We start from the raw sequence: 14,223 nt of genomic DNA, 5'->3' as shown, positions 1-14,223 counted from the left end.
TCCATTTATGCTACAAGCATTCTAAAATCTCACTACAGCCAGCCAAGAACTCTGCTGCTGCTTTTTTTTTTTTTTTTTAAACAGGGTCTCACTCTGTCACACAGGCTGGAGTGAAGTGGCGCGATCTCGGCTCACCACAACCTCCACCACCCGATTCTCCTGCCTCAGCCTCCCCCGTAGCTAGGATTACAGAACTGTGCCACCATGCCCAGCTAATTTTTATGTCTTTAGTAGAGGTGGGATTTCACCATATTGGCCAGACTGGTCTCGAACTCCTGACCTCAGTTGATCCACCCACCTCAGCCCCTCAGAGTGCTGAGATTACAGGCATGAGCCACCATGCCCAGCCTGCTATGTTTTAATTTAATGTTTAGAGAGTGTATTTCAGTCAGACTGCTTATATATAATTCCTGACTTTACCACTTTGCTGTGTGATCTTCATCTCTCTGTGCCTTAGTTTTTGTACCTATGAAATGCATGTAACACAAGTATCTATTTCAGGGAGTGGTGAGGATTAATTTAGGTAATTTATTTAAAGCTCTAACAAACACCCAATAGATGTCAGCAATCTTTACCAGTTTGACTCCATTTTCCTCCAGTCTACTATTCTCTCCTTAACTTTCCCTCCTTTTTTTTTCTTTTGAGACAGGGTCTCACTTTGTCACCCAGGCTGGAGTGCAGTGGTGCAATCATGGCTCACTGCAACCTTGAACTCCTGGGCTCACGTTATTCTCCCACTCAGCCTCCCAAAGTGCTGGAATTATAGGTGTGAGCCACTGTGACTGGCCCCAGCTTCTTAAAAGATTAGCAGACACTAGGTATTTGCACTTTTTCATCCTTCTCTACTCTCATCTTTGCCATGTGGGATTAGGTCATGCTACTTTGAAGACATTTCTCTCAGAAATTGCTGCTGATTTGTTATATCACCAAAGCGAATTATGCCCAAGCCCTTATTTTGCTTCTGAGTCCAGTCCACATTTCCAGCATCAGCAATACATCCCCGGGTTCTTCCACCTCACAGGTAACTTGAAGTCAACATGTCTAACTCAGGGCTCAACCTTCCCTGCACACTTATTCTTTCATTTTCATTCCTCATCTTGGTTATTATGGCATAATATTCCATTGTATGAATACAGCACATTTATCTATTGTTTTGATGATAGATATTTGGATTGTTTCTAGTTTGGGCTATTATAATTAGTGCTGCTATGAATATTCATATATATATGGTACCAACTGACATTCCCACCAGCACTATATAAATTTTTTACTGTTCCATATTCTTGCCAAACATGAACCTTTACATTTTTGTCATCTGGAGGGTGTGTTAGTGGCATCATTATTTGCACCACCCTGATTATTAGAATTTGAGCATTTTTTTAATGCTTATGGTCCCATCCTTTCACTTTCAACCTCTCTGAGTTCTTTTGTTTTAGGTGTGCCGTTTGAATTCAATATATAACTAAATTGAGTTCCTTAACCAGTCTGGCAATTTGGTCTTTTAACTAAAAAATGTAGCCCATATGTATTTGTTGTAATTACTGACATATTTTAATTCATTTATACTTTCTTATTTTGTGTTTCCTAAACTTTCTCCCTCTTCTGTTTGTTTCTTTTTATCTTCGTTCTTGCATACTTTTGTGCTGGTTTTTCTCATTCTGGATTCTGCCCACAACTCATTTAGAATTATAAACTTTTCCTTTATTATTTTAATCATGAATATAGGAATTTAACATGCACATTTAATTTTAAAAAGTCTAAAGCCAGTAAGATATATTTACCAAAGTATTTTAGTTACATCATTATTATAACAACAAAATTAGACATTGTTGTTATTGTTTATACAAATTGTTTTTTTCATCTTTCTCACATAGTTAGGGTATATTATTGATCAAAATCCATCAGTATTGTTTGTCTGAAAAAAACTTCAATGTTATTTTCCAGCTTGAAGCATAATTTTGCTGGGCACACACTACTAGGTTGACGAGTATTTTCTCTACAGTCTGAAGACAGTTTTTGGTGTTCTTTTAGTTTATATTGTTGTTTCTGACAAGTTAGATGGCAATTTGACTATTATTCTTCCATAGATAACAATGTGTTTTTTCTCTCTAGCTATTTGGGGTTGGGGAAGGAGGGGTCTTAGGTATTAAGAAATTTTACTACAAAGCGTCTTGATGTGGTTTTCATTTTATTTGACTTGTTTGGAACTTCTGGATTTCCTGTTTCCAAGGATTCCAAGGGATTCATGTTCTTATATAATTTTTTGATAATTTTCAGATCTTAACACTTCAAATAGTGTCTCTCTGCAATACCTCTGCTTTTCATCTAGAACCCAATTAGACATTTGTTATATTGCCTCACTGGCATTTTTCATGTTTCTTAATTTCTCTTTTATATTGCTTTTATCTCTTTTATAGTGTTTTATCTGTTTCTCTTATTACATTCTAGATTTCTTCAGATATATTCCTGTTCACTAATTTTCTCTTCAGCTTTGTCTGATCTGTTTAACCTATTCATTTTTTTATTTCAATTATATTTATTTCTACAATTTCTATTTGAGTCTTTTAAAATCTGCCTATTCATTTTTAAAATCTTATTCTATACTCATACCTTATTATTTCTTTAAACACATTAAATATAATAATTCAATAATTACAATATATAATATCTTTGTGAGTCTGAGTCTGCCATTTCTATTTTTTAGTCTGTTAGGTTGTTTTGGTTTCTTTGGCTTCATTTTTGCTGATTTGTGTTCATGGTTGCTTCTTTCCTTGTGTTATACAATTTTGTAATCATGAGTATATGTTCAAAAAACTTTATCTATGGGAATTTTTGAGTCCTAAGTTTAAGACATGTTATTCCAGAGAGATTTATATTTGCTTCTGCCAAGCATCTTGGGAGACTGCCAACCAAGGGTCACTTTATAATAAATTCTAAGCTTAAGGTATCTCAAACACAAGAGTAGTATAAACTTGGGCCTCAAATCTCTGAGGTGGCCGGCACAGGGAAGAATTTTTTCTTCCACTAGGAGTAGAAGTCAAGGTAGGGATACTTTTAGTTCACTATTTCACCAACAGTGTCATGTGGTGGGTCAAAGCTTTTCACCTCTGATATCTATGCCGACACGGTCTTAGTCTTTGCTTCTTGGCCCCAATTTAATAACAAAACCAAAGCTCTGAGTTATGGGCAAATGGCAGGTGACTTTAGGAAAATGGGGGATTTTCACCACTGGCTTACTTCTATGGATTTTTACTTTTGCATTATTTTTCGCTTCATACAAATTTGTTTCCAGGTCAGCAATGCATTTAAAAATAAATATTAAATATTTTACTGAGCATTTTTAGGTAGATGAGGGTTTTAGGATTTCCAGTCTGCTATAATGCTTGATATAGAAGTCACCTTTGAGCATGGAGTACTTTTTCACAGTTAGTTTTTAGGAACCTAAAATAGATATCATTATATATTATTTGATGTGTGTGTGTGTGTGTGTGTGTGTGTGTGTATGCCTTTCATAAGTGCATGTTAAGTTCCTGGAGGAAATGAAACTTTTCTTTTTTCAGTGTTTATCTTTCCCAGATACAGGGTAAGGCTTCGCCTTTGGTCAGCACTCCATAAATGAATGATTTGATGGTCTTATTCTCTTCCCTGGGCTCCCATAGAAACTATGTCTATCAAGGAATAATTATTACACTGCAGCAAATTGTGTTTCTCCCTACCCAGCAGATTAGAATTTCTTACTGGCAGTCATCTTATTTTATTGTCTTTGCAGATTTAGAGCTTAGTTTAGAGTTTGGCCCATAATAAACACTAAATAAAAGTTGACTCAAAGAAATCATAGCCTTAGTCTCTGAGACTGGCATGTTAGGCAGGAGAAAGCAACCGTATTCATTTCAAGAATGATACTGATTTCAGTGATTCGGATGGGCTGGGAAAAGCCTGCCAAAGAGGAGACAGAGGAAACTGAGTCAGGCTTGATAGTCTCTGTTTTTATGCTTTCTGGGAGTTTTTACTTTAGGGGCCAGACAGGAAGGAAGAATGGAAAAAGACAAAAAAAACTTCCTTGAACAAAAATCAAAACTTTTTTCTTCCTGCAGTAGTCGCCAATGAATTGCCCAAAAGGAAGATCTTATCCTTCTTCCTTCCACTCATTTTACGGAAACATATGTTAAATACTTAGCATCTTTGATTATTTTAAGCTCTTTAAATGAGCTTAAGTTGGCAAAGTTGAAATAATAGAGTATGTGGCAGCATGGTGGTTTCCTATAAAACCCCATAAATAGGTATTCTAATCTGAGATCTTCTGTATATCCTGGAAAATCTTCCTAAATGAGGACTGTGAGCACCTTGCAAGTCCTCAGACTTCATCAGCTCTTATTTTTACCTGCTGGAGGTCATTTCAGTCCATGGAATCATGGCTAGGGCCTATTCTGACAGAGCCATCCTGATTCCTAATGAGGCTATCTTGAGTTTCACTCTGGGGAGTCCAGACTGCTGGAACGGAGACCACTCCCTTTTCCGGAATGCTCCCTTTGGACATATCAGCTCCAGCATGTAGCCTGCGGCAGCCAAACATGTAACTTGCTGGGAATTCGGTAATACTTTCCTTGACCTGTTGGCTTTAACGTTTGCTTTGATGCCCTTTGCCTTTTATTCCTTCATCTGTTCCAGAAGGTCCACCACATAGCCTGACTTCACTTTTGTTCTTTGTTCTGTAATTCTCTATCTCTGAAACAGAAATAACCATCTTTCCTGTGACCTGCCTCCAAGAGATAATGTGAAGCAGTGCTTTGAACACATCAGAAGAAACTATGCTAAATAATTTCAAAAGTAAAGGGATTAGTCATTTTTTTTCTTAAAATTCTTATGGATTGTCATAAAACATACTGATATAGCCTAACAATCCCTGTTCTGTAAAGCCCAAAAACATGAGAAAGTAAGAACTTGATATCAAACTTCAATTCCAATGTCACTTCCTCCAGGAAAATTTTCTGACCCCTCTCACTCTCTAAATCTAATACCTGCTGTTTAAAATTATAAATGTTGGCATTTATAAAACTCTTACTATAAGCCAGACACAGTGTTAATGCTTTATATGCAAAGCCATGTTTCCATTCATTTATTTCCTATTAAATCTAAATATTTAAAGTATATCCTCCTTGCCAAGCTTTGTGGTGAAATGAGTTTACGGTGATGAAAAAGATATGATCCTCACCCTCTTGAGCTACAGTCTAGGGAGGAAGATAAATATTGTATATACACAGAAGAAGATAGAATTAAAATTATTACAAGTACTGTGTAAGAAAACAACAGGCAGGTAGGAAAGAAAACAGAAACGTGAATAGAACTGATATACACTTTGAGATCAGGAGAAAGATGCTTGAGCTGTGACCTGTGAAAAGATATTTAGGCTGAAATCTCAGAGATGAGTCACCATTAGTTGGTGGGAGTTGGGGTATTAGAGCATTTCAGAAAAGGAGTCAGCATGTTCTAAGGCCCAAAGTAGGGAAGACTTGGTATATTACAGGACATAGAGAAAGTGTGGCTGGTGTGTAACAAGTAAAGGAGAGGGTGAGAAAGATGAGATTGATGAGAGGGGCAGAGACTGGAATCTAGCATGATTGCAAGGAGTTTTTATTTTATTCTAAGTGATTTCATAATAAGTATATCTCATAAAATCAAAACACCTTTTGAGATGAATACTACTGTTGTCTTCACTTTACAGATAAGGAGACTGAGAGACAACGTAATTTGCCTAACATCACACAGCTAGTGAGGGGTATAGGTAGTATTAGAAACCAGACTTCAAATACCCATGTTTGAGCTCTTAAAAAAATTACGCTGAACCACCTCTATATGGCAAGAGGATCTTATGCAAATCACCATTATAACATGTACCGTCATTGTATTTCAGTACTTATATCACATAATAGCACTATGTTTTAACTGATTACTTATCTTTATCTTTCATGTAAAAGCACTATGTTTTAAATGATTATTTATCCTTATCTTCCTGCGGACTGAAAGCTCCCTAAAAGCAGGAACCAGATCTTATTTGACACACTGCCTTGAACATAGCAGGGCCATACTCTCATTGCATGAATGAACACTCAAGTATGTAAAGTAGGACAGACATTGAGCTAATCAAATCTATGTCTCTAAGGCTTATCCTTTAAAAAAATGTTTAGGGGAACAAAGAAGATAAAGTCAGGAAAGGCTTTTTAGACAATCTGTTATGAATATCTGTAAAATATTAAATATAATTTAACCTGTTCTTTGTTTTCTTCATGGAGGTCATGGAGAATGATTTTCTTATTCTCATGAATAGATTTTTAAAAAGTGATATGGTTTCAGGGCACTTTAACAAGAAACCAACACATTTTAAAGTGATTTTTTGTGTTTTTCTTTCAAGGTACTGTTTCACCCCATGGAAGGAGTCTGACCATAATGGTCGCAACCAATGCTAGAAAATAAAAACTCAAATTGTACTTTATAAAGCTAGTTTTTTCTAGCACTATTAATAGCGATTAAGTAAACATATTATAACCATATTGCCATTTACTGGAGCCATACTAAATGCTCTCTAGATAATTCTGCATTCATTTATTTTATTAATAAATTTAATTAAATTTTTATTGAGTGATTATTATGTGCCAGGCACTCTTAGTCTCAATCATAGCTAACAAGGAGTCGATACACTCTGAAAATTTCATGCTGTTCTTGAACAAAGGATTTTATTAAGCCGCAGGAATTAACCAATATGATATTCATTCATCAAGTCATGATGACCTGTGACAAAATGGGCTCAGAGTATCCCAGAATGGAAAAATTCCAGAAAGATTCTGCCACAAGTAACTTTCTGTGTTCCTCAGCCAATGTCTCAGGAGATTCTCTTCCAGGACTTCAAACTTGGCTCTGTGCTGCTTTCTTCCTTTCCTCCCCGGTGGCCCTGAGTAGGGGGTGTTGAAAAAAGCCTAAGCTCAGAGAGGCAGTGAGGGCAGAAAATTTATTTTATTACATGTCATGAAATGTAAATATGTATATTCATTACTCCAGTTAACTTGGAGCAACTTATTACAAGGTATTATATTTTCCTTCTATTTCTCACCTCATTCCTGACCCCAGAATGAAATGGAGAACTGGAGATTTATTCTCTCATTCTCTCTCTCTCTCTCACACACACACACACGCACACACACACACACGCACGCACACACACACACGCGCGCGCGCACACACACACACACACACTCCTTCTATCAGTGAGGAGGCCAGGCCACCTCTTCGCAGTTTCTCCCTGTGTTGACCTCAAGGTTAAGTCTCACTACCCCTCAAACAGCTTCCTAACTTCTTGAGCTGGAGTACCTTTCAGACTCTCCAGAACTCCTCCTTCTATATATGGCTCCCTTTCCTAGATAATTTCTCTCTACCAAGGCATGTCCTTACACACCTATTCCTTTGATTTCCTGTGATCACATTTCTAGCTGATTTGCCTCTGCTCTGCTGTTGTATTCCTTTCTGAATCCTGCTTTGGTGACTCAAACACACAACAAACTATTTTGTTGTTTGACAATTTTTTTTTCTGAGGCCTTGCCCTAAATCCCAGCTACCAATTCTGAGATGATGTAGCAATCATATTTACATGCCTGACCTCTACATATACTAAGACCCCACATCTACATGTAATAAATAGCCATGGTTTCTTTATAATAAAATATACATACACAGTCTGTATATACAGTAACCTCCTCAATAGATTGGAGAGAGTTGTAAGTCTTCATCTGGACTTGAAAAACACATGACAGAAACTGCCAATTACCTGCTCATTTCATATACTTGGGGTTAGAATATGCCCAAATAAAAATTACCTTTCCCAGCCTTTCCTATAGAGGGAATATTGCCAATATGAAAACAGGAGCACTTACATGTCTTTGGGCAGCACTTCCAGAAGAACATGTTTTGCCCTCCTGTTCCTTCCCATCTCCCTTCCTGCTATTTAAGCACCTGAAGCACAGATGGTGTGACTGAGCAGCCATCCTGTGACCTTGAGAGTGTCAGTCTTCTAAGATTTTGGCAGGGCAGAAGGACAGGAAGAGTGTGAGTCCCTGGAGCTTCATGAGGCAACCACAAGGGCCCTGGACTGCCTACCACAGGACTACATTTATTTAAGCCAATGTAGTCAAAGCTTAAATGAAATTCCCTGTGTGTGCGTGTGTGTGTGTGTGTGTGTGTGTGTGCGTGTGTGTGATTCCTAATTGATACATGTATGGGTATGTGTCTCTTTGCATGCAAACAAACATATTTATTGTTATATGGCCTGAGCACTTTATGTACTTTTTAAGGATTACATGAAAAAAATAATCATAAAATACTTGGCACAGAATATGACACAGAGCAAGGAATCTATAAACATTAACTACTATTTCCTTTAATCTTCTCAACACCCGCAGGAAGCATGTAGTATCATTCTCATGTTACAGGGGAGGAAATGGAGTCTTAAAGGGGGTAAGTACTAAGACTTGATTCATGCAATTAGCAAGCAGCAGAGTCAGGATTTGAACCCAAGTCTACCTAATTCTAGAACTCCAAGTCCTAAAGGCAAGGTACACTGCCTCATTCAGCAAGGCACGGAATCTCAGTGAAGAGAGGCCAAGCAGCCATCCTGTGTGCCGAGGAGGGGGTTTCTGTAACAAGGAGTCAGAGGAGAGAACATGAGTTGAGCCTGAAGGTCCCCATGGCGAAGTCTCAGGTCTGCCACTTGCTGGCTTTGTCATCTTGGACAAGTCATCTCTGCTCCCTAGGCCACATTTCTTTCAACTTTACAGTGAAGAGATTGACTTGATTCTCTCTATGGTTCTTTCCAAATCTAGAATGTCATCAATTAATGATTCTCTATAGTCAGTTTATTGAAATAGTACTGTAAAACAAAACCTGATTTTGAGGTCTGAATAATATATTTTGGTCTCTGTGAAGTCCTTTTTTCTAGATACTTTTTGATTCCCCTTTTGTCTTCTGATAACGTAGACATTTTATCAGTCTCCCATAAGCTTTTAGAAAGAATTGCCTGTATTCATGTATAGTAGGAATAAACAATGTGGGGACCAAAGGAAATGAGCAGAGAGGCAAGAGGTAGAAAGGGCTTCACGTTTAGGAGATGGGGTAAAAACAGAGAAGCAGCATATTGCCATAGAGGTACACAGTGTTGCTGTGTTTTGAGTTCTGCCTTAGTGTCTTCTTGGTTACTTTTGTACTCTTGCAGGCAGTTGCCAAAAGATGAGCCGTCAACTGCAGTAGGGCAGATAGAATTTTGAATTAGAGAGGCCTGGGTCTCAATTTTAACCCTCCCATTGCTAGCTTAGTGACCTTAGACTTTACCCATCCATTTGCTGTGTCACTATAAATAAGTTATTCGACTTCAGTTGCTCATTTACAACCTGAGGTTAGCAACAGTCTTCACTTCTAACGATTGTTGTCTAGTGTATATAGAAGCTTAGAACAGTGCCAGTATGTAGAAGCTTAGAACAGTAGACTCTACACAAAAGTTAAGTTGTATGAGCATAAGTCCTATTTGGGCGTTGAGCAAATCTACAAATTCAAAGTTTAAAGAGTATATGATTGCTGTCATATTTTATGTGGCCAGAGGAGTCTTTGCTAGCATTTCACAAATGCCCCTTGCTAAATTAGCTAAAACTTCTGAGACAGGCATCACAGGCTTCAAGATTTGTAGAGTCTAGTCTGGTAGCAGTTTTGTGGTTTTCTTTTTAATGATTATTTTAGTAGTAGCTTGTTGTTTGCTTAGTTCTGAAAAGCAAACTCCACTCAAAGACTCACTGTTATACCGTTCAAATTTATTTTAACATAATTTGTAGAAAGACATGAGTTGGGAATTTGTCAAAGAAACTTGCAGAGTCTAGGCAGGGGCACTTCACTTGGAAAGTGTTAGCCAAGATCCAGATAAGCCAGATGGCCTCAAGTTCAAATTATAACATTTTCTTCTCTTCTGTAGCTTTGAAATATCTAAATATTTGGATTAAATACATCAGGATTACTATAAGCACGAAATACTGATCCATCGTGCTTAACAGTGAGAATTGTTGCCATCCCTATATGTTTCATATCACATAATTTAAATGTAATGAAAGGTAAATTTTTAGAAACTGAACCTTTTAGAAAGAAATCTACAGGGTGCTTTCACCTAGGCTATTTCTTTTGATGGGCTACTGGGCAGCTGTTAGTTTCAAATAAACTCAATACTAGATTTGCAACAGATGTTCCTAAAACGGAACAAATAAGAGAATTACTGAATTTCTTACAAAGACAGATTAAACCTGAAAAAATAATTGAGATCTAGCAAGGCAGTCATTAACATGAGGAATGAAATTAAGCATGTTACAAAGAATAATTCAAATGTTTCTCAACTAAGAGGCAAGAGGAAGAGCTCTTTAGTCAGTTTTGTTTTTCTTTATTCATCCGTTCAACAGACACTTATTACTGAGTTTCATTTGGTGCTATTCCAATTTGTTGCCGTCTTCTTAAATTATACACATGGGAATGTTAAAACTACAGCTTGTCTGCACTAATGCATTTTATTAAGTAAAATTTCACCATGCCATGGAATCATCATTGCAGAAGTTCATGGACTCACAGCCACAATTTCTTTAAGGTTTTCTCATTTCCATATAGCAGATTCTTTTTTTTTGTATAATGTTTCAACATTACTTTAATAGCAAAATCTCAAAATAGTGAAATAGCAAAATTCACTAATAGCAATTTATGAATAGCAATTCACTAAGCAAAATTCACAAAATAGTGAAATAGCAAAATCTCAAAATAATAGACACTAGGTATCTGAGAGTAGAAGAAACTGAGATTTCTCTTTTACTTTATCCAACTGTATTTAAATTTCTCATTTACTTGTCTATAACCTCCAGCAGATTGTAAACCTCCATAGCCCAGTGACCTTCTTTGCTCTTTCAATATTGTCATCTCAGTTCTTAACATAACAGCTGGCATTGAGGGAACACTTAAAAGAAGAAGAAATATTTGCTGAAAATTATAGAGGAACACAGGCAGGTATAAAGGCAGACAATAACTCATTTTCTTCTCTGCTCATTTGCCGGGTGATAGACACCAGTTGTATACAAATGATGGAAAGGGCTCTAAGGGTTATAGTTTAATTAATTTAATTTAGTTAACTCTGTATCTAGTGTAGTTCTCAATTTTTTTGTCCTAAATGCAAAGAAGACACACCTATTCTTACCTACCACTTGCCTCTAAAACAAAAACCTAAACTATTAACTCACTAAATAAACATATAAAAAAGGCCCAGATGTAACTAATCACCTATTGCTAATGTAAAACAAAACTGAAATTTGTCTTCTTTTTATCATTTCTGGGCCAAATGGTTTCAATATGTAAAATGCATAAAACAATGCCTGGCAGATAGTAAGCACTGATATGTATTTGTTATCATTACCAATCTCATCATCATTACTTCTGTATCTTAACTGACCCTTCTGGCTGTTTAGATAAAACCCCAATTCTATCTGGAGCCCTAACAACAGTACACCAACCCACGTTCCACCATGAAACTCTCTTCCACGAGGCAAGGTTTATCAGATAAGACTGCATGGATAAAAAGCCAAAAAAAAAAAAAAAGTCTGACTTTCTATTACTCTTTCAGGAGAGGACCAGGTCACATCTCTTATTGCCACAAGAACCACTAAAATATCCTGGCTACTGGAAGTTGCTTTAGGGAGTGAAATGGGGGCTGAGAGTGGAAATGGTGCTGCAGAAAGTATAGAAGACAATCTAATAGAATTCTATGTGTTTTCTAATTATATCAATGAACTGATTGCAATACCTGGTTTATTCATTGCAAAAAAAAAAAGAGTGTTTTATGGCTAGAGCATGAGATAGAGCTGAAAAGAATGAGATAAAGTCATACTCATTTATTCCACTTCCTTTGAGTTTCTAGAGAAAACTTCGAATTTAAAAAGTATGGTGAACTAAATATTTTCAATAGCCCTTGAACAATAAGATCCTAAATGCTGAATCAAATATAAAATTTTATTTTAAATGCATTGCTGGGAATATATGAAAACAAGAAAAATCAAGCTCCTACCCTTCCCAGGCCCAAAATATGGAGAAAACAAACCGAAAAAGGTAAGGATACCCTGAGACACAATGCCTTTCCTAGAAATGAGAGATAAGAGTCTTTATTCTGGGCCAGTGCCTTTCAAAATAAAACCTAAATAGAAAATTCATAGATTATGAAAGACATCTCAGAATTAATAAAAAATAAGAATCACTAGAATGCTTTCGCTTGTTTTATCTCTGCAAGTCTCTCAATATTTATTGCATCATCCAATACTCTGAAAATTGAGAGTATGTGTTGGGTAGATTAACTGTTTGTACAAAGCTCAATGGAATGTTAAAGGAACAAAGATCGTGCCTACAGGTGTGGTTGATGACATACCACCAAGAAAATGTAGAGGTTAAGAACTCAAAATTCTTGGGAGCTTGTTTTTGCCAAGGAATGTGGGCGCAGTATTTGGAACTGCCAAGTTATGCAGCTGAGAGGTCTGAGGTTGACTTCTAGTTCAGTGTGATAATAACCTCATAATAAAATCCCAGGTTTTATCTATGAGACTCAGAATGCTTATGGATAACCAAATGCAAGCCACTTAAGGTTTCCCTTTACCTCTTAACAAAGTGAGCTTTCATCCAATTTGCATACCTCTATTTTAACAACGTAAAGAGCTTCACAAAATCAATTGCTATATTTTCATTCTATTTTTACTATATTTAACATGCTGGCCACGTGAGGTGGCTCACGCCTGTAATCCCAGTACTCTGGGAGGCTGAGGTGGGTGGATCACTTGAGGTCAGGAGTTCGAGACCAGCCTGGCCAACATGGTGAAACCTCATCTCTACTAAAAATACAAAAATTAGCTGGGTGTGGTGGCGCACACCTGTAATCCCAGCTACTCAGAAGGCTGAAGCAAGAGAATCACTTGAACCCAAGAGGCGGAGGTTGTAGTGAGCCAAGATGGCACCACTGCACGCCGGCCTGGGTGACAGAATGAGACTCTGTCTCAATAAATAAATAAATGAATAAATATAGTTATATATCTATATGCTGGATTTGATTATTGATTAATTATGGATTTGATCCTTGTCTCACAACGTATTATGTAAAGGTAGCACCATTCCTTATTTCTCTTTGTACATATTTGAATCTAACATACTGATTTGCACATAAAAGATATTCAAAAAGAGTTATTGATCTAGAAGACATTAAGATGCTCTTTCTGAAATAACAGTTTGAGTCAACGTGCATCTTCAATCTAGAAATTTTCTTTCTTGTCTATCCACAGTTATCTCTTACTTTCTTAGTCACAGCGCTTGAGTGCATTGTGACAGTAAATGCGTTAAATTGTATCTAAAGACAGAAAGTAAAATATGAAGAGCCAATAAAATTTCAAAAGTTTAGTGAGGCACAATGGGCCCAATTCAAGAGAGAGGCTGAGCAAGTTAAAGGCTTTGTTGGGAGCAAAGTGTGCATTCATATAGCAAACTCTGGCCAAGGTAATTACCTGTTTTGGACAGGCACACTATTCCCTGGAGGCTGCTTCACTCACCCGGACTTGACTCAACTTTGGATAAGTTCCAGTATAAATATTCCCACAAAAAATCAGGCAGAGGGAAACATCTCAGTGTTTTTTAAGAATAAAGGGGTCTGACTCTCAGTTTTATATCTCTTTATTTTTGCTGATCAGCACCCAGCACACTGACCTCTGCATTACTCATCAGCATTACTGCATTACTCAGGTGCAACTGAAAGGAGACCACACTACCGCTTCCGTACCACCTTCTGAGTTCCCTGCCAAAATTTACTTCTTTTTTAACTTGGAAGTCTCAAATGTTCTCATTTAATGTGTTGATGACATCACACTTAAGGGTGGTATGGCTGGCGGGACATTAAATAAATTACACTTTATAAGGTACCTAATGTGCTAATACTGGGAGGGCTAAGTTGAGCCCCCTGCCATCAAAGTTCCTATCTGGATCTCAGAAATGAACCAAGAACCTTAGAGAAAATTCCTCCCTGTTAACTTATTAAGCATATTTCACCATTGTTCTTCAGACAAAGAGGAAAATATTAGGTTATATAGTATTTATTGTGCGTAAGACCACACACGAAAATACACACATAATCTTACT

General features: G+C 37.0%; 1 annotated feature.

The window, feature by feature from the left end:
- Nucleotides 12,250-13,449: an enhancer, noted in NCBI's record as "P300/CBP strongly-dependent group 1 enhancer chr12:43354422-43355621 (GRCh37/hg19 assembly coordinates)". NCBI's record gives its function as "activates an origin of replication core promoter dependent on BRD2, BRD4, P300/CBP, MED14 and CDK7 cofactors, with strong dependence on P300/CBP, by STARR-seq in HCT116 cells {active_cell/tissue: HCT116}" and the evidence as "EXISTENCE:reporter gene assay evidence [ECO:0000049][PMID:35650434]".

Source organism: Homo sapiens, chromosome 12 (genome assembly GCF_000001405.40).
Source record: "Homo sapiens chromosome 12, GRCh38.p14 Primary Assembly".
Taxonomy (NCBI): Eukaryota; Metazoa; Chordata; class Mammalia; order Primates; family Hominidae; genus Homo; species Homo sapiens.
Note: the sequence above shows the minus strand (reverse complement) of the source record. Positions and strands in the feature narration are given on the sequence as shown.